A 23,548-nucleotide genomic window follows, 5' to 3' on the forward strand; every position below is an offset into this window, starting at 1 on the left:
GCAATGTCCACAGGTAGGTGAAGATGAGGCCCATAAATTCACTTGCCCCACTTGTAGCCCTGGCAGTATAACTTCAGTCTCCTGAGATGAAAGTCGTAGGAACTTTTGAACACCACTCCACTGGACAGTTATGAGGCTCTGACAGGCTCCCCCGCAGGCTGGCCAGGTTGGCAGGGCTATCTGATTCCCACCACTCAGGTAGCTGCCTCCAGGCAGGGGACACGCTGCTTACTAAGGTAGGAAGGCCAACATCCATTCCTTTCACATTATTATTATTATTATTTTTCAGACGGAGTCTCACTCTGTTGCCTAGGCTGGAGTGCAATGGCACTATCTCGGCTCACTGCAACCTTCACCTCCCGGGTTCAAGCGATTCCCCTGCCTCAGCCTCCTGAGTAGCTGGGATTACAGGTATGTGCCACCATGCCCAGCTAATTTTTGTATTTTTAGTAGAGACAGGGTTTCACCATGTTAGTCAGGCTGGTCTTAAACTCCTGACCTCATGATCTGCCCACCTCGGCCTCCCAAAGTGCTGGGATTCCAGGCATGAGCCACCACGCCCGGCCTCCTTTCACATTTATCAGGGCTCTGAGGGTCTGCAGATGTAGGGCAGGCATCCTGAAGACGTGCATCCCGTGGCAAACTGTCCAAAGGACATGGTTTTAATGTGGGTCCTGGTCTATCCACCCACCAGGACCTGACTCAAACCCCACCTCCTCCACTCAGTATCTCCATGTCACCCCAGGCAAACTCTGCTCTGCTCTTTTTTTTTTTTTTTTTTTGAGATGGAGTCTCACTCTGTCGCCCAGGCTGGAGTGCAGTGGTGCGATCTCCGCTCACTGTAAGCTCCACCTCCTGGGTTCATGCCATTCTCCTGCCTCAGCCTCCTGAGTAACTGGGACTACAGGCACCCGCCACCACACCCGGCTAATTTTTTTGTACTTTCAGTAGAGACAGGGTTTCACCATGTTAGCCAGGATGGTCTCGATCTCCTGACCTCGTGATCCATCTGCCTCGGCCTCCCAAAGTGCTGGGATTACAGGCGTGAGCCACTGCGCCCAGCCTGCTCTGCTCTTGATAAACACATGTCTCATAGTGCCACAGGTTGCTGCAATTGGAGGCCATGCCCTACTCTCCCAATTAGAATGTAAGCCTCTACAAGGTAGGAACTTTGCCTTTTAACTCCTTATATTCTTCCCAGCAGCATTTTTCAAATATAGGCCCTGACCCAGTAGCAAATCATGAAATTAGTTTAGTAAGTGTCACCAACATTAAATTAAAATAATCAGAATGAAATAGAACAGAAAATTTCTGATTGCAAAATATCTAGTGTTATTTAGTGCATGTATATTTCCCTCACCCCCAAATTCATAGTTTGAAGCCCTAACCCCCAGTGTAGCTCTATTTGGAGTAAGGAAGTAATTAAGATTAAATGAAGTAATAGGGGTGGATCTGATAGGATTAGTGTCATTCTAAGAAGAAACACCAGAGAGCATGCTCTCTCTCTTTCCCTCTTATATACACACATGTGAAGATAGTGAGAAGGTGGCCGTCTGCAAGCCAGAAGAGAGCCCTCACCAGAAGCCTACCCTGAAGGATCTGGGTCTTGGACTTCTAGCCTCCAGAACTGTGAGATAATACATTTCTGTTTAAGCCACCCAGTCTACGATATTTTGTTATGGCAGCCTGAGCAGACTAATGTGCCTACAGGAGAGTTGTTCAGTGAAATGTGTGTGGTTGTGTGTGTGTGTGTGTGTGTGTGCATATGAGAGAGAGCTGGGTTTTGGGTTTTGATATAAAAATGTGTTTCTTAGTATTGATCATGAACAAAAAAGTTTGAGAGCAACTGTACTACCAGACTTTATGCATAGTGGGCAATCGATAAATAAATGTTTAATAACGAGGAAAGCAAAAAGAGATTGAGAAAAGAGGAAAAGAAAGAGGCAGGGAGGAACGGAGGAAGGAATGACAGAAGGGCATTAGGACAGTTTTCTGTCCTCAATATGAGCAGAAATCATGGGCCCCACCAGGCATGATTTACATAATTTGGGAAAAGTTTTGACGAAACTGAGACAGACAGAAAAAGACAGATAGGGAGTAACCAAACAGTTCACAAACCAAAACCTCATAAATCAGTCCTGACATTTCATCATCTCATTTTTTACTCATTCTGGTTTGTGAGCCTTGATATAGGAGTTTGCAATAAATTTTAATTTCCTGTTGGTTTGAGAAAATTCAAGACTGTGATATTTGAAAATACTTTTAGGCAATCCAGCTCCTTATTGCCAACTGGATTTCTCCTTGATAGGTCTGATCCGATGGTGATTCAAGCATTGCTTTGTAGCCCTAGACTGAAATAACCAGGATAACCCCGATCAGAGCAAAAGATCTTCCAGAAACCTCCTGGGTTTTTGTTTTATTTTTAATCAGACTACCCATGAACTCAATGTATATTGATGCACACAGAAGAAATAATACCAGAGACAAACAGAAACATTTCTTAATGAGAGAGGAATAAATTCAGTAGGAGAAAATAACAGTCCTAAACATGTATGCACCTCATAAGAGAACTTCAAAAAACATGAAGCAAAACCTGACAGAATTGGAGCCAAGCTGAAAAAGCTCCCAATGGCCAAAGTTGGAACATTCTGAGCAACAAAATAAATAATGTGGTATTGGATTATATCCTAAAGTATAAAATACATGGCCTTAAATCAACATGGATATAAAAATGATAGAATAGATAAAAAAGAAGACACAAATCTCCTTGTAGAAGTATCCCAAATAATATATATTTCACCCTCCCATTGAGTGTGGCTGTGCTTAGTGACTTACCTACAAAGAGTGAAGTACGGAAAGGAGAGAAAAAGTAACTTTACAGTGCAGAAACCTGGCAAATGCCGCCTTGGCCTAGTAGTCAAGGTTAACTTCATCAATAATAATTCATTGACAGCATGTACCTTTGATATGACATGATAAGAATGGCACTTCACCTCTGTGATCTTCCTTCTCCAAACCCATAGCATCAGTCTAACCATTAGAAAAACATCAGACAAACCCACATTGAGGAATAGTGTACACAATATTGGACCAGAACTCCTCAAAACTGTCAAGGTCCTTAAAAATAAGGGAAGTCTGGAGAAACTGTCATAGACAAGAAGAGGCTAAGGAGATTTAATGGCTAAATGGTATGTAATATCCTGGATTAGATCTTAGAACAAAAAACGGATACTAAGAAAGAAAGAATGACATTGAATAAACTATAGGGTCTGGTTAAAAGGCATGTTGGTTCCTTTGTGCAACAAATTAACTATAGTAATGTAAGATATTAACAGCAGGGGAAACTGGGTTCAGTGCATGTGGGAATGCTCTGTACTCTCTTTGTATACCCAAAACTATTATAAAAATAAGAGTAAAGAATCAGAACTAAAAGGAAAAAGACAAATATAGGAGATTTCAATATTTATCTCTCAATAAATTGACAGAATAAGTAGACAAAAATTAGTAAAAATATAGAAGCCTTGCACAACACTATTCATCAATCTACCTAATTGACATTTAGAGAACACTCTATCCAACAAGAGCAAAATACATACTCTTTTCAAGAGAACATGAAATATCTACAAAGACAGACCATATCCTAGGCTGTAAAACATATCTCAGTAAGTTTTAAAAGATTTAAATCATATACTATGTATTATTCTCTGACCACAAAAATTAAGCTCTAAACAAAAAGATATTGGAAAATTCCCAAATATTTGGAAATTTAAAAGCTCACTTCTGGCCAGGGGGAGTGGATCATGCCTATAATACTAGCACTTTGTGAGGCTGAGCTGGGAGGATTGCTTGAGTCCAGGAGTTTGAGAGACAGCTTCGGCAACATAGCAAAAACTCATCTCTACAAAAAATAAATAAATACATTTCTTAATTAGCCAGGTGTGGTGGTGCATGCCTGTGGTCTCAGCTACTCGGCAGGCTGAAGTGGGGGGATCACTTGAGCCCATCAGGTTGAGGCTATAGTGAGCTATGATCACACCACTGCCATCTAGCTTGGTTGACAGAGTGAGACCCTGTCTCAAAAACAAACAAACAAACAAGAAACAAAACAAAACAAAATCAAAACTCTCCTCACTTCTAAATATTTCATGGATCCAAGAAGAAATTGTAAGGAAAATTAGAAAGTATTTTTAAATGAATGGTAATGAAAACAAAATGTATCAAATCTTGTGAAATCAACCAGTACAATGATTCGAGAGAAATTTGTAATATTTAATGCTTAAATTAGAAAAGAAGGAAGATCTCACATCAATGACCTCAGTTTTCTCCTTATGAAACTAGACAAAGAAAAGCAAACTAAACCCCTAAAAAATAAAAACGAAAGAAATAATAAAAATGAGAGCATAAATAAATGAAACAAAATGGACGAAAAAGAGATAAAACTAAAAGCTTTGACAGAATTAATAAAATGGATCTACCTCTGGTGAGACTGATTTTAAAAAATAGAAGACCAAAATCACCAATATCTGGCATGAATGAGAAGACAGCACTACAGATCCAACAGACATTAAAAGAAATACAAGAGGGCTGGGTGTGGTGGCTCACACCTGTAATCCCAGCACTTTGGGAGGCTGAGGTGGGTGGATTGCCTGAGGCCAGGAGTTTGAGACCAACCTGGCCAACATGGCAAAACCCCATCTCTACTAAAAATACAAAAAATTAGCTGGGGATGATGGTGCATGCCTGTGATCCCAGCTACTCAGGAGGCTGAGACATGAGAATCGCTTGAACTGGGAGGCAGAGGTTGCAGTGAGTTGAGATCACAACACTGTAGCTGCACTCCAGCCTGTGTGACAGAGCAAGACCCTGTCTCAAATAAAAAAAAAAAAAAAAAAAAAAAAGAAAAGAAAAGAAATATAAGGGGAAAGAGCCCAATAAAAAGAAAAGAATAGGCAAATGATTTGAACAAACACTTTACCAACAGTGAGATATGGGTGGTTAAAAACGGAACAGAACAAAACAGAAACAGACCAAAAAACAAAAATTACTTACTATCATTAATCATTAGGAAAAAACAAATTAAAACCCCAATCAGATACCATTACACACCTGTTTAAATGGCTTAAATAGTTCTTTATATATTCTGGCTACAATCTTTTATAATATATACGTTTCACAAGTATTTTCTCCAACTCAGTGGCTTGCTTTTCATTTTCTTAACAGTGAATTTTGAAGAGCTAAAGTTTATGATTTTAAAGAAATCCAGTTAATTAATTTTTATCTTTCAAGGTTTGCACTTTTTATATCCTGTATAATAAAGTCTTTGTGTTAACCCAGTTCAATTTTTTAAAAACATATTTTCTTCTAGAAGCTTTATAGTTCGGCTCTTACAGTTAGTTCTATTATCCATTTATGTAAATAAATTGTGTATAACATGTGAGATTAGGGTAAAGAATCATTTTATTTTCTTATGGACATCCAGTGGCTTTTTGAAAAGACTTTCCTTTCCCTATGGCATTACATTGGCACCTTCACTGAAAATCAATTGACAATATATGTGTGGATCTATTTCTAGGCCCCCATTCTGTTCCACAGATCTATCTGTCTATCCAACACCACATTGCCCTAATTATGTAGCTTTGTGATAAATCTTAAAATCAGGCAGTGTAATTCCTCCAACTTTTATCTTTTTCAAAATAATTTTGCATTTTAATAAAAACATTTAAATAACTATTGATTTCTATAAAAAATCTGTTAGAATATTGATTTGGATTGTGTTGAGTCTATACATTAATTTGGGAAGAACTGAGATTTTAACATTATTGAGTTTTCTGACTCATAAATGTGGAATATCTCTCTATTAACCTGTCTTTCTTTAATTTCATTCCATGAAGTTTTATGTTTTAGTATCCAGGTGTTGCACACATTTTGTTAAATTTATACCTAGGTATTTTCATGTTTTTAGATGCCATTGTGTTACATTTTATTTTATTTTATTTTTCTTTTGAAACAGAATCTCACTCTGTTGCCCAGGTTGGAGTGCAGTGGTGCAATCTTGGCTCACTACAACCTCCGCCTCCCGGGTTCATGCCATTCTCCTACCTCAGCCTCCCGAGTAGCTGGGACTACAGGTGCCCGCCACCATGCCCAGCTAATTTTTTTTATTTTTAGTAGAGACGGGGTTTCACCATGTTAGCCAGGATGGTCTCGATCTCCTGACCTCGTGATCTGCTTGCCTCGGCCTCCCAAAGTGCTGGGATTACAGGCGTGAGCCACCACGTCCAGCCCAAATGTTATATTTTAAATTCTCAAGTCCTAACTCTTTGTGACTGTGATGGTTAATACTGAGTGGCAACTTGTTTGGATTGAAGGATGCAAAGTATTTTTCCTGGGTGTGTCTGTGAGGGTGCTGCCAAAGGAGATTAATATTTGAGTCAGTGGACTGGGAAAGGCAGATCCACCCTTAATCTGGGCGGTAACAATCTAATCAGCTAATCTAATCAGCTAATCTAATCAGCGGCCAGTGTAGCCAGAATAAAAGCAGGCAGAGGAACGTGAAAACATTAGACTGGCTTAGCCTCCCAGACTACACCTTCCTCCCGTGCCAGATGCTTCCTGCCCTTGAACATTGGACTCCAAGTTCTTCAGCTTTGGGACTCGGACTGGCTTCCTTGCTCCTCAGCTTGCAGATGGCCTATTGTGGGACCTTGTGATCGTGTAAGCCAATACTCCTTAATAAACTCCCCTTTATATATGCATCTATCCTATTAGTTCTGTCCTTCTAGAGAACCCTAATATAGTGACCAAAAAAAGATACAATTGATCTTTGTTTAATAAACTTGCATATTTCAACTTTTCTAATCTTACTTATTCATTCTTGTAACCTATTTGAGAATTCTTTAGGATTTTCCATGTAGATAATCATGTTGCCTACAAAGGAAGAAAGTTTTACTTCCTCTTGTCCACTGGCCATGCTTCCTCTACCCCCTGCCTCCACCCTACCCAACCTCCGCCCCATTTCCAGGATCTCCAGTACAGTGATGAATATAAGTAGTAAGAGTAATAAGATAGGACATAATCCTAGAGGAAAGCATTCAGTCTTTTACAACTAACTATAATGTTACCTGTAGGTCTTCCATGCCTGATTTTTGATCAGAATGAAGAAATTCCCATCTATTCCTGGTTTGCTGAGCTTTTATCATGAATCGAAATTGAATTTTGTCAAATGCTTTATGTGCATCTATTGAGATAATTAGTCAATTTTACTTTTTCAGTCTGTTAATATGGTGAATTACACTAACAGTTTTTAGTATTAAACCAAACTTACATTCTGAGACAAATACCAACCACTTGGTCATGATGTATTACCTTTTTTATATATTACTGGATTTGATTTGTTCAAATCTGTTAAATTTGGGTGTGGGGGCTATGTCATGAGAGAAATTTATTTTTAGTTTTCTTTTTCTGTAATGTCTTTGGTTTTGGTATCAGGGTAAAGCTGGACTCATAAAATGAACTGGGAAGTATTCCCAGTTGAATTGGTAATAGTTATACCTTAATGTTAAGTTCACCACTGAAGTCATCAGATCCTTCTTTGTGAGAAGGATAAGTACAAATCTAATTTCCTTAACTGATAATGGATTACTATCTATTTCTTTTTGAATGAGTTTCAAATAGTAAATGAGAAACAAATGGGCAAAAGATTTGAACTGCCAGTTCACCAAAGAAGATATCCAAATGCTAAATAAGGACATGAAAAATGCTCATTCATCATTAGGGAAACACAAATTAAAAACACAATGAGGTACCATTACATGCATTAGAATGGCTAAAATTAAAAATATTTATAATACTACACATTGGTGAGGACATGGAGCACCTGGAACTCTCTTACATTACTAATGGGAAATGTGATATGGTGCAGTCCTTTGAATAACAATTTAAAAGCTTTTTATAAAATTTAATATATACTTATCATATGACCCAGTAATTCAATTCTTAGATATTTACATTAGAGAAATAAAAACATGTGTTCACCCAAAGATATGTACATAAATGTTCATAGCAATTTCATCTCCAGTAGCTAAAAGCTGAAAATAATTCAAATAAAAAATTTGTTTATTCATGTACACACAAATTATAGTATTTCCTTATAATGGAATACTTCTCAATAACAAAAAGAAGTAAACTACTGATACATGTAATAACATGGTGAATCTCAAAGGCATTATGTTAAATGAAAAAGAAGCCAGATATGGAAGACTGCGTGCTGTATGTTTCAATTTTTATGAAATTCTAGGAAAAGCAAAGCTATAGTAACAGAAACCAGATTAGTCTTTGCCTGAGGCTGGAGATGATGAAATGAGATTAGCTGCACAGGGTCATATGAATACCTTTTTGAGTGATGGAAATGTTCTATATCTTGATTGTGGTGGTGACTATACAACTGTATACACTCATCAAACTATACATTTAAAAATGGGTGGATTTTATTGTATACAGATTATAACTCAATAAAATTATAAATTTTTATAACTGAAAAAAAAAAAAACAAAACCAGGTATGGTACTTCATCCCAGAGTGGTAAGGCCCTACAAAGCCACATGACACGACACTCTGTGGATGCAGGGAAATGTGAAGAATTTGAGCGGTTAAGATTAATGAAATCAATCTGCTATAAAGGGTTTGATTATAATAGAACCTATCAATTGTTGGAGCTAAAAAGAATTCCTTCAATAAAGAATTTGTTACTTCACACCCGCATTTATGTTGTCTTTTGTTCCCAACTTTTGGCTGGTACTCTGATGTCATTCCATATTACCACTTGAACTTAAGTCTAATGTTTTTGTGCTTGGATCCCTTTTAGTGACTAAGAGACTAATAATTTAAAAGTTTTGGTCATCTGGCCAATCTTAGGTGATCTTTACTTAAACTCCTGGGTACTTGCAATGCCAGCATTTCATATATTATTCTTTCTCAGTAGAAAAGCTGAATGACTAAAGACAAAAAAAGTTAATAAGCTATCATGAAAAACCATTTAGGGATTTTATACACTTTCTCTTTAAACGTAACAAGCCATTCACATGATCACTACAATTTATGGAAAAATAAATTATTGCCATTGCAGACACTGTAGTCAATGAATAAAACCCTTCACCCTATTCCTCTAAGAGTGCCATATGCAGGACTATCTCTTCCTCAAGAGGCCTGAGTTCTAGTAATGAGAAAATTGGTTCTGTCCCGTAGAATCCCATGAGAAATTGAGATTGGAACCACAACACAGAGAACAGAAACTTTTCATACTTTTAAAGTTTCTTCTCCAGTTTGGTATGAACAAAGCTTTGTATGCAAATCAAGAATACATTAAAAAATATTCTCCCGCTGGGCGTGGTGGTTCACGCCTGTAATGCCAGCACTTTGGGAGGCTGAGTCGGGTGGATCCTCTGAGGTTGGGAGTTTGAGAGCAGCCTGACCAACATGGAGAAACCCCGTCTCTACTAAAAATACAAAATTAGCCAGGTGTGGTGGCTCATGCCTGTAATCTCAGCTACTCAGGGGGCTGAGGCAGGAGAATCACTTGAACTCGGGAGGCAGAGTTTGCGGTGAACTGAGATTGCGCCATTGCACTTTAGCCTGGACAACAAGAGTGAAACTCCGTCTCAAAACAAAACAAAACAAAACAAAACAAACAAACAAAATATATATATATATATACACACACATATATATACATATATATATATATATTCTCCCAAGAGCACAACTTTGTGACCTTCTGCAAATGACAGAGTCAGTCTGGTACAGAGGTGGGGGGTTGTATTTTGCCAAGTTTAGAATTAATTCAGTCTCTTTAGTCTAGGCAAATCCCACCAATAAGAACAGTTTGATGTTCAAATTTGTTTACGCTTTGTAAAATAGAACTTCCTGGTTTTTAATTCTGTAAAGATTTTTTGAAATGAAGTGGCATCTAAATATTGGTTTGATGAGTTAAATGCAAATGAATCAGAAATATATGGATACACCTTCCCTCAAATTTACCCAAAATTTTAATAAGGAAGTACTAGCCAAACATACTTTGGGTTGTGTTTAAATATCTGGCAAAGCATTTCAAAACATCTGGGGAACCCAGACTGCATTCCAAATGGAAATTTTTTTTCTGTTTGGGTGTTTTGTTTAAATTTTACATGGGAAACAAAACACTTGGATTTATCTCCACAAATATGAATCTATTTTCAGTATTTATACCTCACCTGTCACACTGACAGGAAAGTTTTCATAATTTTTTTCCTGGAAATGAAATCAATTTTCAGAGTGATGAGAGATTCTGTTGAGCTGAGAGTAGTTCAAATCTAGGTTGGGCAAGTCTCCAAGCCTTCTTTTGACACCTGGTTCTTCTCCGCCACCCCAACCAAGCCCAGTGTCCTCTAGCTGAGTTAGGAACCTCTACTTGACATCATTGTGCATGAATCCCATTCTTGAATGTAGCAAATGGATCCCTTTTCAGCTCCACTTATTCTTCTAGACCTCAGGGTTCTCATCTTCAATTTCTGTCCTGTTTCCAGACTTTGCTCCAACTCAGCTCTCTGGCTCTTTCTACTCTGGGACCCCTCGGTAGGGTATCTCCACTCTAATTCAGGATTTTTGGGACAAACTCTTTCTCTCCCCTCACGCAGCTCCCTATGAAGGGAAGCCTCTCTCTGAGTCTGGACTGTTCTGGTCATGGAAGGGGATGGAGGCCACCGGAGGACCTCAATGAACTCAGTGAAGAACTCAATGAATGTAAGGCCAAGGTCTTAGGAGGAGAAATTCCTACTGATTTGGGATGAATGGCTACAGAAACTTCCAGAGGTAGTTGTCAATGGAAATAGGACAGTAAAATTTGGTTTGGGGTGCCCTGGTCCAATGACATGTAAGTTACTGGGAAGTATGAGAATCTCTCTGTCTGTCCAGCCAAGGGCAGACGGTGAAGGACAGTTATAAGGCAATGATTCAAACAGTCAATTAATTGGGTCTTCAAAATTTTTTTCTACTGTTTTCTACTGGTTCTCTTTGTTTTTGTTTGTTTTTTCTTAGGCTCCTCTCATGCTTATCTACTGGTTCTCTTCGTAATTTTGATAATTAGGACCTCAAAGGGGGAAAAGTCAAGACGAGAGATAAAACTCAAACTGATCAGCTGTGCTACCTTTTAGCAGTTACAAAGTTTGAGTTTATGTCTGAATCACTAGGTAAAGCAGAAAGATTAATGACCAAGTGAACTGTGCATGTTGGAAGGACTGGTAATTTATGTCTTCTCCTTCCCACCTGACACTTCAATCAGAGGAGGACTACTGAATCAAAGGAATTTTTAAAAGACCAATTCTTTGACATGAGAACAAAGGCCCAATTCTGAGACCAAGCCTGCTGATTAGGGAACTGCTCGTTCCCCACCGTGGATTTAGACTGGTGGTTTCCAAACCTGGCTGCGCATTAGATTCACCTGGGAAACCTTAAAAAATAACAATGGCTGGGCCAAAACCCAATGCTGGGTGTAGCCCAGGCATCAGCATTTAAAAAAAAAAAACAACTCCCTGGTTGATTCTTAGGTACAATCAGAGTTGAGAATCATTGGTTTAGATTGTATTATTAGGTTGGTGCAATCTGAGAAAATTAATGTTTGTCTTGTGGAGGTGTACTTACTTTAAGAGGTCAACTAGTACAGAAACTGGGAATGGTGCAAAATAAACTTGAACTCGAGGATCCATGTCCACCCTCATCCATGAAATTACAGACACTCCTTCATGTTCTCATTGTCTCCCAAGCTAAAAGTGTCAATAAACACTCATGTTCACCCTGCTAAAGATTGCAGGGGAGGGATTCCTTAAACTGCAGCTTTCGGTAAGCATTCCAGGAGTAAGATCTCTTCCCATGAGTACAGGTAGGTGTGGAGTTTTCCCAGAGGAGGGGATGTCATTTTCTCTCTGGGAATGGGTTCTGGACCCATTAAGTACAAATTTATTTCAGTTTCAGCCTTTGTCCCTCCTGTGCTACAGTTTCTTTCTGAAAGTATACCAACCCACCAGTAAAGAAATCTGCCTGTGTCTTTGCAGTTTGTGTGATGATATTGTGGTGACTGAGGGGGTAAAGTGGCAAAAAGAAGCGGGTCCTCCTGCCTCCTTCTTTCCTGGAGAAAAGGTGGACAGCCCATCGGGAGGAACAGCACTGCAGAGGACCAGATAATAGGCTCCCACAGATAAGCCAGCAGCTGAGGAGGCAGACAGTTCCTAGTCTCTAGAGGATCTCTGGAAAAAGGATTTGTTCAAGAAGAAACAAATTTTCTGACACCATCACACAGTATGTGCTAAAAAATCTTGTATAAATGACTTCAAAAAAATTCCTGATTCATAGCCTTGGCCAATTTTCATCAAGTAAATACTCCTACCATTGCCAATTTCAGGCTACCGACCCGTAAAATGTGTCACTGAAAGAGGAGTTGGGAAGAAATGTGCAAAATCAATTCTGGCAGCCTGCTAGGAGCAGACTTTAGCACATTCTTGTCCCCATGAGTGAGGGGTGCTGGCCCCTTGCAGAAGGAGGGGACCAGCAAATTCTTAGAGGTTCTGGTGTATTTTCTATAATTTTGTGCACTCTGTGTGTTTTTTCTCCTCTTTTAACACAATCAACCAGCATTCAGCTCTGATTCTTTCAAGTATGACCTCATGAACTCAGGCTAAAATAAGTCATTTATCAGAACCAAAATCTGTACTTGGATCCAAATAGGCAGAAAAGGCCGAGGACTGCACCTTTCATAAAATAAGAACGACAAATATTTTTGAATGTTTTCCCACATTATTCTAGTCACAAACAGTTTGAGATGGTCGATAACAGGTACCATTTACTGAGTGCCCACTATGTACCAGGTCCATGTATTAACTCATTTTATCTTTATAACCCTATTAGGAAGTTACTATTATTAGGACTACTGTACCTTTTAAACAAATAAGAAGGGATTCACCATGTCTATTATAATAATAATAGTAATAATGTATAGTTTCATTCAGAGTATTCACCATGGTGATTACTCTGAATGAAACTATACATCATTCTAGACTATTCAAAAGGCAGTTTGATATGGTTAAAAATAGCTGACATTCATTGAGTGCATACTATATACCTGGTGATTTCATGAACTCTCCATTGGATTTTTATAGTTATCTATGAATCAGATGTTACTATGTTTATTTTACAGTTAAGGAAAGAGAGGACAGAAAGTGACTTCATGACAGTCAGGTAATTTGTTGATGTCAAGGCCAAGTATAAAACCCAGGCAGCCTGGCAGCAAAGCTCACTCTTACATATAGGACCCCACTACTTTTCCAAGCAAGAACATCACTAGGTGATATGTTTTAGCTGTGTCCCCACCCAAATCTCATGTTAAATTGTGATCCTGTGTGTTGCAGGTGGGGCCTGGTAAGAGATGATTAGATCATAGGGCTGGTTTCTAATGGTTGAGCACCATCCCTCTAGTGCTGTCTTGTGATAGAGTTCTCATGAGATCTGGTTGTTTGAAAGTGAGTAGCACCTTCCCCTTTGCTCTCTGATGGCCATGTGAAGATGTAGCTGCTTCCTCTTCACTTTCCCTTCACCTTCTACCATGATTGTAAGTTTCCTGAGGTCTCCCCAGAAGCAGAAGACTATACAGCCTGCAGAATCGTGAGCCAATTAAACATTTTTTTTAATTAATTACCCAGTCTCAGGTAGTTGTTTATAGCAATGTAAGAATGGACTAATACACTAGGCAAATCCCTAACCTTTGATGTGGATGTCTGGCCTCATTTTAAAAGACTGCACTTCTTACTTAAATGTGTCTCCACAATCACCCTTCTCAATACACACACATTCTTCAGGGTATAAATGGTGTACTATGGTTGGAATGTGTTACGTGTTGGAAACTTGGTTGCCACCGTAGCAGAGTTAAGGGGTAGGGCCTTTGGTAGACAATTGGCAATGAATGGATCAATGCCATTTTTGAATGAATGGGTTAGTTATCATGGGAATGGGTTCCTGACAAAGTCAGTCCCCTTCCTCTCTTTGTCTCATAGGCTCACTTCTGCCTTCTGCTCTTCCACCACGGGATGACTCCTCAGATGCTGATACCATGTTTTTGGATTTTCCAGCCTCCAGAATCATGAGCTGAATAAGCTATTTTCCTTTTTTTTTTTTTGAGACAGAGTCTCACTCTGTCACCCAGGCTGGAGTGCAGTGGCGCGATCTCAGCTCACTGCAAGCTCCGCTTCCCGATAGCTGGGACTACAGGCGCCTGCCACCACACCCAGCTAATTTTTTTGTATTTTTAGTAGAGACAGGGTTTCACTGTGTTGGCCAGGATGGTCTCGATCTCCTGACCTTGTGATCCACCTGCCTCGGCCTCCCAAAGTGTTGGCATTACAGGCATGAACCACGGCGCCTGGCCTAAACTATTTTCTTGACTCAGTCTGTGGAATTGTTACACCAACAGAAAATGACTAAAACACACTGTGTTTTCACTTTGGTGTTAGATACTGTTTAGCATTATGTTATTGAGGTCTGTAATTTAGAGCTGAAATATTCAGATGCCAACATGTCAGGAGATGAATTTGGAATCAAGTGCAATTCTCCTAATTGCTAATCAAATTCAATGTTATCCCCTTAAAAACCATTCCTAAGCCATACACACTTCAGCTGAACTTAAAGGGTTAAAGGACGTCTGCCAGATTTCAGGAGAATTCTGTTGATCTCAACCTTTAGACTCTTTAGTACTAAAATATTTTGGAAGTTTCTACTTCACTGAGTGACATAATTTACACCTTTCATTCTAGGGTTGTCTTTACTGAACCACACAGTGGTGTTCTTATGTAGACAAAGCTACTGGAGTTTAGAAACAGGAAGAGCTAGAAACTCGCATTTTAAAGCTTACCCAGTGGGGTATTTCCTTAACTTTCCAAATTCTGACATGTGTTAGGTAGTCAGGAAAGAATAATGAAATTCCCCAGGAAAAGCGTTCCATAAATGGCAGCTGTTAAAATGTGGTTTTCTAGGTAGCTATGGGCCTGATTTCCATCCCATTCTTCTTACCTCATGCAGGGCTGGTCTTAGGTTGCTTTTGCAGAGACAGATCTAGGGTCCTGCAGGAAAGCCAAAGCCTTCCAGAACAGCTCAACAATAGCTCAGCGGCTCTCCAGCACACCGCTGAGTCTCCTTCTGAGAGTGTGTGTCGGTGTCACACAAGAGCTATGCTAGTTTTCAATCGCTGCTCTCATCGGAAATAATGCCAGCTTCAATTAAGTCCTGTCAGCTCAGTCAGCACCATCTGATGAGGGGAAGGGGAGGAGGTACTTCTTCAGTGGAAAGAAAACACTAGGAACCACAACAGAGATACAAGGCCTAGCAAGGAGCCTTAAGTAAGAAAGGATAAGATCAGTGGTGTTGAAGATGAAAAAGGACAAGCGATTTCCGGAGGGTCCATCAAAAGTAGCTGCACAGTGTAGAGTTGTCAAGAAATTTGATTCGGCCCTGAAGGCCTGCAGGGGTGAAGAGGAGTTTGAGAGGTTCTGGTCCTGGGGCCCAGAGGGGAGTGGCAGATTTGAATTATGGGTTCACACCTGTAGCCTGTGGTCGCCAAACCATGGCTGAGGGAGAGATGTGTGGGAATTAAAAGATCCAGATAGTTCTGCTATAACATGATACATGCATTCCTAAAACTCACTGTGTTATGCAAAATTGCACAATAAAAACCACAGGCTTAGAGAAAAGACAGGGTCAGGGGCACAGTACCTAAACACTTTGTTGGTAATATAAAAAAGATAGGAACTTAATAAAAATGATAGCACAGTTTTGTGCATGTTAAATAATGAAAAAAATGTAAATACTACAATAAATATGGCACTTTATCTTTAAAAATACCTGCCATTTGCTGATGGAAGAGGGAGCTGAGAGGGTTGCTGCTTGTGTTAGGATGAAGTAGTAGAAGAAAGATCACCAACATTTTTGATTTTTTGCAGCCTTAAAATTCTGAAATGTGGGCCATTTGAAGCATGCATTTATAATGGATATCCGTTTCATCAAAATTGAAAATTTGAAAATGTAGCATTTTCTTCTTTAGTTAATTTCTGTATCCCTGCTGGAAATTCCTTTGCAGTTTTCTCATCCACACTTGAGGACTTCACTCAATAGCTGAAGTCTTTGGAAATTGTGGTGATATTTGAAATCACCAAATCAGCCCCTCATAGAACAAAAGGTGTCATTTCTGCAGAATGTGGTAATTTCCATTAAGGTTTTTGCACGTAGATAGTGCTTTCTCTTTGTGAGCGAGGTTGCCCTTATTTTTCACCACCTAGTTTTCGGTTTCAACAATGCTCATCTTTCCATCTCTTCTATGTCTTCATGCCTTTTTTTTTTTTTTTTTTTTTTTTTTTTTTTTTTTGAGACGGAGTCTTGCTCTGTCACCAGGCTGGAGGGGTGCAGTGGTGCAATCTCAGCTCACTGCAACCTCCGCCTCCCAGGTTCAAGCGATTCTCCTGCCTCAGCCTCCCCAAGTAGCTGGGACTACAGGCACTTGCCACCATGCCCAGCTAATTTTTGTATTTTTAGTAGAGATGGGGTTTCACCATGTTGGCCAGGATGGTCTCGATCTCTTGACCTCGCCTATAATCCCAGCACTTTGGGTGTCCAAGGTGGGTGGATCATGCCTTATTCTTATTGATTTCTCAGCACTTGAACTTATTCCATCCACAGACATTTCTTTTATTTCTATGGTCTGTTGCTTGGGAGATAGCATAGGTTCTCTTGATTCTCTCAAAATGCTTTACTTCAATTTCCCCCCTCAATACACAAAGCTTTTCTTTCCCATGCCCTGCTTGTGATGCTTAGACATGTTGGAGATGTTGAATGAATTCTTTTTAATACACAACACTTTACAAATGTGAAAGAATAGGAAAATATAACCTCGTAGGATGACCCAGTTGGTTGTGATAAGTAGATTAGTTAGAATAACACATCTGCAAGGTAGTAGGGCAGATGCGTGGAATATGTGCATGTGGCATTTTGTGAATCCTGACAAGACTCAGTTCAGCTGGGTGCCATCTTCTATGTTAATCTAGTTTTCTCTTGCAGATAAAATTGCCTATGAGAAACTTGAATTATGTTCACATTGTCCCCAATACTTTAATTCAATCACAATAAATTCACATTTTAAAAACAAGTGTTAATAACCAACTGTATATGTACCTCTGTTCATGTATTTTCTCATTTGATCATGTTAATAATTCTGGGAGGTAGATAGGAAAGTTAATATTCCCATTACACGGATGGAAAAAACTGACTCTGAGGAATGTCCCACAGCTTGGAAATGAGTCTGGAAATACCAGAAGTTAAGATAAGAGCTCTGACCACGTTTAAGTCCCTGTTCCTACTAGTTCCTAAAGCCAGTTCAACTCACTGTCTTCTGCAAGTTGGGTGTTGTGAGCCAAGGAATTTTCTTCTTTTGCTTAAAGTAGTTTGAGGTGGGTTTTTGGGTTGTTTTGTTTTGTTTTGTTTTGTTTGAGACAGAGTTTCACTCTTGTCACCCAGGCTGGAGTGCAGTGGCACTATCTCGGCTCACTGCAACCTCTACCTCCCGGGTTCAAGTGATTCTCCTGCCTCAGCCTCCCAAGTAGCTGGTATTACAGGCGCCCACCAGCACGCCCGGCTGATTTTTGTATTTTTAGTAGAGACAGGGTTTCACCATGTTGGCCAGGCTAGTCTCGAACTCCTGACCTCAGGTGATCCACCCGCCTCAGCCTCCCAAAGTGCTGGAATTACAGGCATGAGCCACCGCGCCTGGCCTCCAGGTGGGTTTTTTGAGTAATGCAGAGCCTCAGTGAATATGGGGTTACCTAGGTAATATTCAAATTCTCTACCAGCTCTGACTTTCTGCCACGTTTTGATTTTTAAACTAACTCTCTTCAGGTAGAGGGCACTGTAAACTTCAAGGTTTGCCTTTGAAACAGGAGGCTCTGCCTGTGCCGTGCTGTGCTGCAGGCACAGGATAAAGGAAAATTGTTCCTTCATCCCCTGGGTGCTGGCGGAGAAAGTCCCCGGTCAGAGAAGCTGGGAACTTTCTTTTGGAGGGGATTGGCTAGGTTTGCACCCATTTAGACATGGCCTTTTCTAAAGACAGTGACCCTTCACTGTTCCTGTCACTGCCATTGCGATCTGTGTCATCAGCCTTGCTCACCGGCAGAGCAGATGCTCTGGGTGTAGTGGATCCTCCTCTTTCCCCTAGTCCTGTGGTGTCCCGACTGCTCCCAGTCAAACCCAGCCGAGTGACAGGAAGGGATTCCAACATTGGGCTCAAGCATGACTACTCCTGCTGCTGCTCTTCAGTGAGCACCCCTCCGTGCCCTGGGCCTCTGAGAAGCACTTCACATATTCATTCATTACTTTCACTGGTATTTGTTGAGAGCCCATCATGTGCCAGGATGATTCTTTTTTGTGTGGTTTATTTCATTTACTTCCTACAATTGGAATGCCCAAACAGACTGGCTCCAAGCCCACGCGCCTACCCCTGTGCCTTTCTGCTTCTCTCATTCAAGGTTGCTAGACACTCAGTCTGCCCCAATCATTTTCCTACTTACTGGAGACCTGAAAAACTTGTCAATGACCTTCCCATGACCGGGATAACAATTTCTAAACTTGTCACTGCCTGTTATGTGTGGGTACAGATGTATTTCCCTTCCACTTTGATAGCATATGCATGAGTGTCACCTTTGTGCAGGTTTTGATGAGCTTTAGGCTCCCTTCCTCCCCCCGCCCCTTCCTGTCTTTCTTTCTTTCTTATTTTCAAATTCATGCACTGGGACCTGCTCTACAAACTTGAGAGAAAAAGTGAAAGAACAAAGAAGGCAGAGCAATCTAAATACCGAAAGTGTTTTTTTTTTTTTTAAACTTCATGAATGGGGCCTTTGAACTCGCCAGCCATAGCTCCTTCCTAACCTGTACCTTTCATGTCCTGTTTCCAGCTGGCATGGAAAATCTGAGGTGCCCTGGTCCTGAGCCTGTGCTGAAACCTGGCCGTGGGTTGTGTCTCTCATTCCTCCATCAGCAGTGGCAGCCACAGTTGCTGGAGCGGAGGTGAGCCAGGCACTTCCTGCCAGGCGCTAAAGTCCATTGCAACAGTCACAGAACCAAGCTGGGAAGGGAAACAAGCCTGCATGAGCCTTTGCCCAATGTGCCCAAGGACAGCCACAACAAAAAAGGACGAGGAGAAATTCTTGCATCCAGTGGGCATGGGGCTGGGGAGGAAGGGGGTGTTTCTGGGTGCTGGGACTTTCTGCCATGACTATAACCCAGGTTCTCAGCACAAGGGATGTGATTCATGGCCAAGAAATTCCCCATGGCCTTGGATGACATTTACATTGATTACTTCTGAGTCACATTTCTGGGAGAATATTTTTTTTTTCTCACCAAAGGCAAACTGAAGGGAAAATGGCATGGATAGTGGTTTGGAGACAACAGAGGAAATGGGGTCACTTGTGTTATTAGTAGAAGAGTTAAAGACATGCAAGAATGGAAAGAAAAACAAGGCCAAAAAGAAAGGACATTAAGAGGTGGGAATCATCTCCGAGTGGAATGAGGAGAATTGAGGTCTCAGGATTTGTAGTTTCATAACTCTGGGGATGAAGGGATGGGGGCAGCCGAAATGGACTCTGCCCTTTTGTCTCTTGTAACGACAGAAATTTAGAATGTAAGAGTTGGGGCCATCACTCACGCATTTATTTCACAAGTATTTGTTGAGCACCTTTGGTCTTCCAGATTCTAGGCACGGGAGATGTAGTGGGGGAACAATGTAAAGTCCTGCCCTGGTGGCATTTATCTCAGTGGAAGAGAAAGACAACAAAGGAATGGCCAATCAAATGGTACATTTTAATTCGACCCTTTTGACTTATTAACAGAAATGCAACAGATCCAGGATGGTGAGAACATGCACACTTTGCTGCACCAGGGGGGAGGACAAAGGAATGTGACTCGTCAGTGGCACTGGACTTCAGCAGTTCAAAGGGTTGTCTTGGAGTCCTGACTCTCCCCTTTCCTGGAAGAATAGGCAGGGGTGTGGGCCTGCTTGGAAGGGGAAAAATAGAGGGTGTCCCTGATCCCCCTATTATGTATGTTCTAAGCCTCATCCAAGTAAAAGCCTTCTTAATGCAAATGTAGAAGATGTCAGTTAAACCATGAACTCCAGAAGTGTGTCTGAAAACAAGAAAGCAATGTCCCAAGTCCAGTAAGATTTTAATTTTTTTTTTTTTCAGACAGGGTCTCACTTTGTTGCCCAGGCTGGTCTCAAACTCCTGGCTTCAAGCGATCCTCCCACCTTGGCCTCCCAAAGTGCCAAGATTATAAGCATGAGCCACTGTGTCCAGCCTTCCAGTAGGATCTTAAACCACCAACAGAAAAACAAAACAAACAGAAAACACTTTTCACCAGATTAGCATGACTTCTGCTTGACTTGGAATAATAAATCTCAGGCTATGTCTTACAAAGCATTATTTGTGGCCAACAGGCAGGAATTTGCAAAGCAAAGGAAAGCAATATTGAGGAGTACAATGCGCCAAGCATCAGTTATCAAAGATCTGGGTTCCCATCTGGGCTTGCCACTCACTGGCCCCCGGAGGGAGTCCTATAAGCTGGGTAGATGGAAAACAGAACATCAAGAGACCCAGGGAAGGACTCAACCAGGATGGGAACAGGCATGGCTAGAGAGAAGGTGGGCACCCGAAAAGACGAGATCAACTGGACCAACATCAAGAGCTGCAGTGAGCGGCTGGGACCCCAGCATCTCCCAAACCTCCAAGAAGCCAGAGTGAAGGACAAGGACTGAGATGCTTCCAGAACCTGAGTGACCCGGATTCAAGGAGGGCTGGGAGGGTGCAGGGGTGTCCAATCTTTTGGCTTCCCTGGGCCACACTGGAAGAAGATTCGTCTTGGGCCGCAGATAAAATACACTAACGATAGCTGATGAGAAAAAAAAAAAAACCTTAAAAATAATCTCATAATGTTTTAAGAAAGTTTATGAGTTTGTGTCAGGCTGCGGGTTGGACAAACTTGGTCTAGAGGAAGAGCTGAAGGCTGCCTGGCTACCCTGCTGCTGAGAGGAAGGCAGTTTTGCCTGACTGGAGCCTGTATTTTCTAAACCCAGGGCAGAACTCCCCAACACCCTTGGGCCACACACCCTCTCTGGCCATCTGCCTGCTGTCTTGACCCTACCTTCTGGACCACCCTTCAAGGCTCTGTCCTCCCAACTGACCTCCCAGGAACTGCTACACAGCAATTCATCCAGGACAGGTAGCCTCAGAGTGAAGTCTTTATTAAAGCCAGTAACAACTTTGGGAGGCCGAGGCGGGCGGATCACGAGGTCAGGAGATTGAGACCACGGTGAAACCCCGTCTCTACTAAAAATACAAAAAAAAAAAAAAAAAAAAATTAGCCGGGCGTGGTGGCAGGCGCCTGTAGTCCCAGCTACTCAGGAGGCTGAGGCAGGAGAATGGCTTGAACACAGGAGGCAGAGCTTGCAGTGAGCCGAGATCGTGCCACTGCACTCCAGCCTGGGCGATAGAGCGAGAGCGAGACGACGTCTCAAAAAAAAAAGCCGATAACAAAACATGACAATAACGAGAGAGGGAGGGAGAGATAGAGAAAGAGAGATAGAGAGAGAGAGAGGAAAGGTAGGAATGGAGGGGAAGGGAAGAAAAGGAAAAGTGGAAGGAGAGAGACAGCCATGGGAAGTCTTCAGCTAAAGGCTGGCTGAGGCTGGAGCCAGAAGAGCCAGCAGCAGGTGAGAGTGGGTAACGCTAACCAAAGAGAGAGTTGGAACCAGCCCAGCGCTTCCTGATAATCTCCAGGGACCACCAAGGTGCAGCTCGACCAGACTCTCCCCAGCAACTCTCTTCTTTTTTTTTTTTTTTTTTTTTTTTTTTTTTGAGACGGAGTCTCACTCTATCACCAGGCTGGAGTGTGGTGGCACGGTCTCAGCTCACTGAAACCTCCGTCTCATGGGTTCAAGTGATTCTCCTGCCTCAGCCTCCTGAGTAGCTGGGATTACAGGTGTGCGCCACCACGCCCAGCTAATTTTTGTGTTTTTAGTAAAGACAGGGTTTCACCGTGTTGGTCAGGCTTGTCTCAAACTCCTGACCTCCTGATCTGCCTGCCTCGGCCTCCCAAAGTGCTGGGATTACAAGCGTGAGCCAACGCACCTGGCCGCAACTCTCTTCTTAATCACTGTCATCCCTCTTGCTTGGTTCTCAGAGTTCTGCTCTTACTCCCAGCACCCAATCCCCCACTCAATAAGAGACGGGAGGGGAGCTCAGCTCAGATTCTGCCTCCTGTTCCTACACATTCCCAAGAAGCCTCATCCTGCTGGAAAGGCCTCAGCTACTCCTTCTGAAGCCTGTTTCTTTCTTTCTTTCTTTTCTTTCTTTCTTTTTTTTTTTTTTGTTGAGACAGAGTCTCACTCTGTCACCCAGGCTGAAGTGCAGTGGTGTGATCTTGGCTCACTGCAACCTCCGCCCTCTGGCTTCAAGCAATTCTCCTGCCTCAGCCTCCCGAGTAGCTGGGATTATAGGTGTGCGCCACCACACCCGGCTAATTTTTGTATTTTTAGTAGAGACGGGGTTTCACCATGTTGACCAAGCTGGTCTTGAACTCCTGACTTGAGGTAATCCGCCTGCCTCAGCCTCCCAAAGTGCTGAGATTACAGCGTGAGCCACCGTGCTCGGCCCCTAAGGCTTCTTTCTATCTGTCTGGCTTCAGGCCACCCACCAAAGCCAATCAGAAGTGGCAGATCAAAGCTTTGTTGGTTGCAGAGAATATGATTTTGACGTGTGTGTGTGTGTGTGTGTGTGTGTGTGTGTGTGTGTGTGTGTAGGAGAAATGTAGATGTTGTACTTATAGCTCCAAGAAAAGGGATTTGTGTTTCATAGGTCAGGGCTAAAAAGGGTCTCTTAGCTTGGTGGCCATCCAACAATATGAATTAAGCCAGACCCAGCAGAATCTGTGATTGAGTAAATACCCATAATGTACTCCCGTATATGCTGTGTGCTCTACAGTTCCTTACCTGGAAATGAGATAAATTACTATTATTGTTGTTACTATTACTTTTTCTTGAAAAAGGAGACAGAGCATGTGATGTGCTGCTGGCTTAAATCAGTGAGGGGTGTTATGAGAGACATTCAGGGTGAACCTCTGAGCCCATCATGTCTCTGGTTAAAGAAACAGAGAATCTGTACCCTGGCTGGCAGCCTGGTGATTGCTGAGAGACAGAGGGGAATGCCTAGGACGAAAATGTCCCAGAAGTGGTGGTCTAGCCTTACCAGGGACCAGCGGAAGCCCATTATCAACATGAATTGCATTTCTTTGTCATTTTTAAATAATTGTTTTATTTCAGAAATGATATTAAAATAACAGAAGGCCAAAACAAAAATATCCCCAATCCCATCCTGAAATCAAATCAATGACAAGTATGCATGATATACATCAAATATAAAATTCTGTCCATGATGTTATT

General features: G+C 41.5%; 3 annotated features.

The window, feature by feature from the left end:
• Positions 14,799-15,300: an enhancer, noted in NCBI's record as "NANOG hESC enhancer chr14:61641010-61641511 (GRCh37/hg19 assembly coordinates)". NCBI's record gives its function as "activates a minimal SCP1, AML or CMV promoter by ChIP-STARR-seq in primed H9 embryonic stem cells {active_cell/tissue: H9 hESC(primed)}" and the evidence as "EXISTENCE:reporter gene assay evidence [ECO:0000049][PMID:30033119]".
• Positions 18,160-18,661: an enhancer, noted in NCBI's record as "H3K27ac hESC enhancer chr14:61644371-61644872 (GRCh37/hg19 assembly coordinates)". NCBI's record gives its function as "activates a minimal SCP1, AML or CMV promoter by ChIP-STARR-seq in naive H9 embryonic stem cells {active_cell/tissue: H9 hESC(naive)}" and the evidence as "EXISTENCE:reporter gene assay evidence [ECO:0000049][PMID:30033119]".
• Positions 18,776-19,975: an enhancer, noted in NCBI's record as "P300/CBP strongly-dependent group 1 enhancer chr14:61644987-61646186 (GRCh37/hg19 assembly coordinates)". NCBI's record gives its function as "activates an origin of replication core promoter dependent on BRD2, BRD4, P300/CBP, MED14 and CDK7 cofactors, with strong dependence on P300/CBP, by STARR-seq in HCT116 cells {active_cell/tissue: HCT116}" and the evidence as "EXISTENCE:reporter gene assay evidence [ECO:0000049][PMID:35650434]".

Source organism: Homo sapiens, chromosome 14 (genome assembly GCF_000001405.40).
Source record: "Homo sapiens chromosome 14, GRCh38.p14 Primary Assembly".
In the NCBI taxonomy this organism is placed as follows: Eukaryota; Metazoa; Chordata; class Mammalia; order Primates; family Hominidae; genus Homo; species Homo sapiens.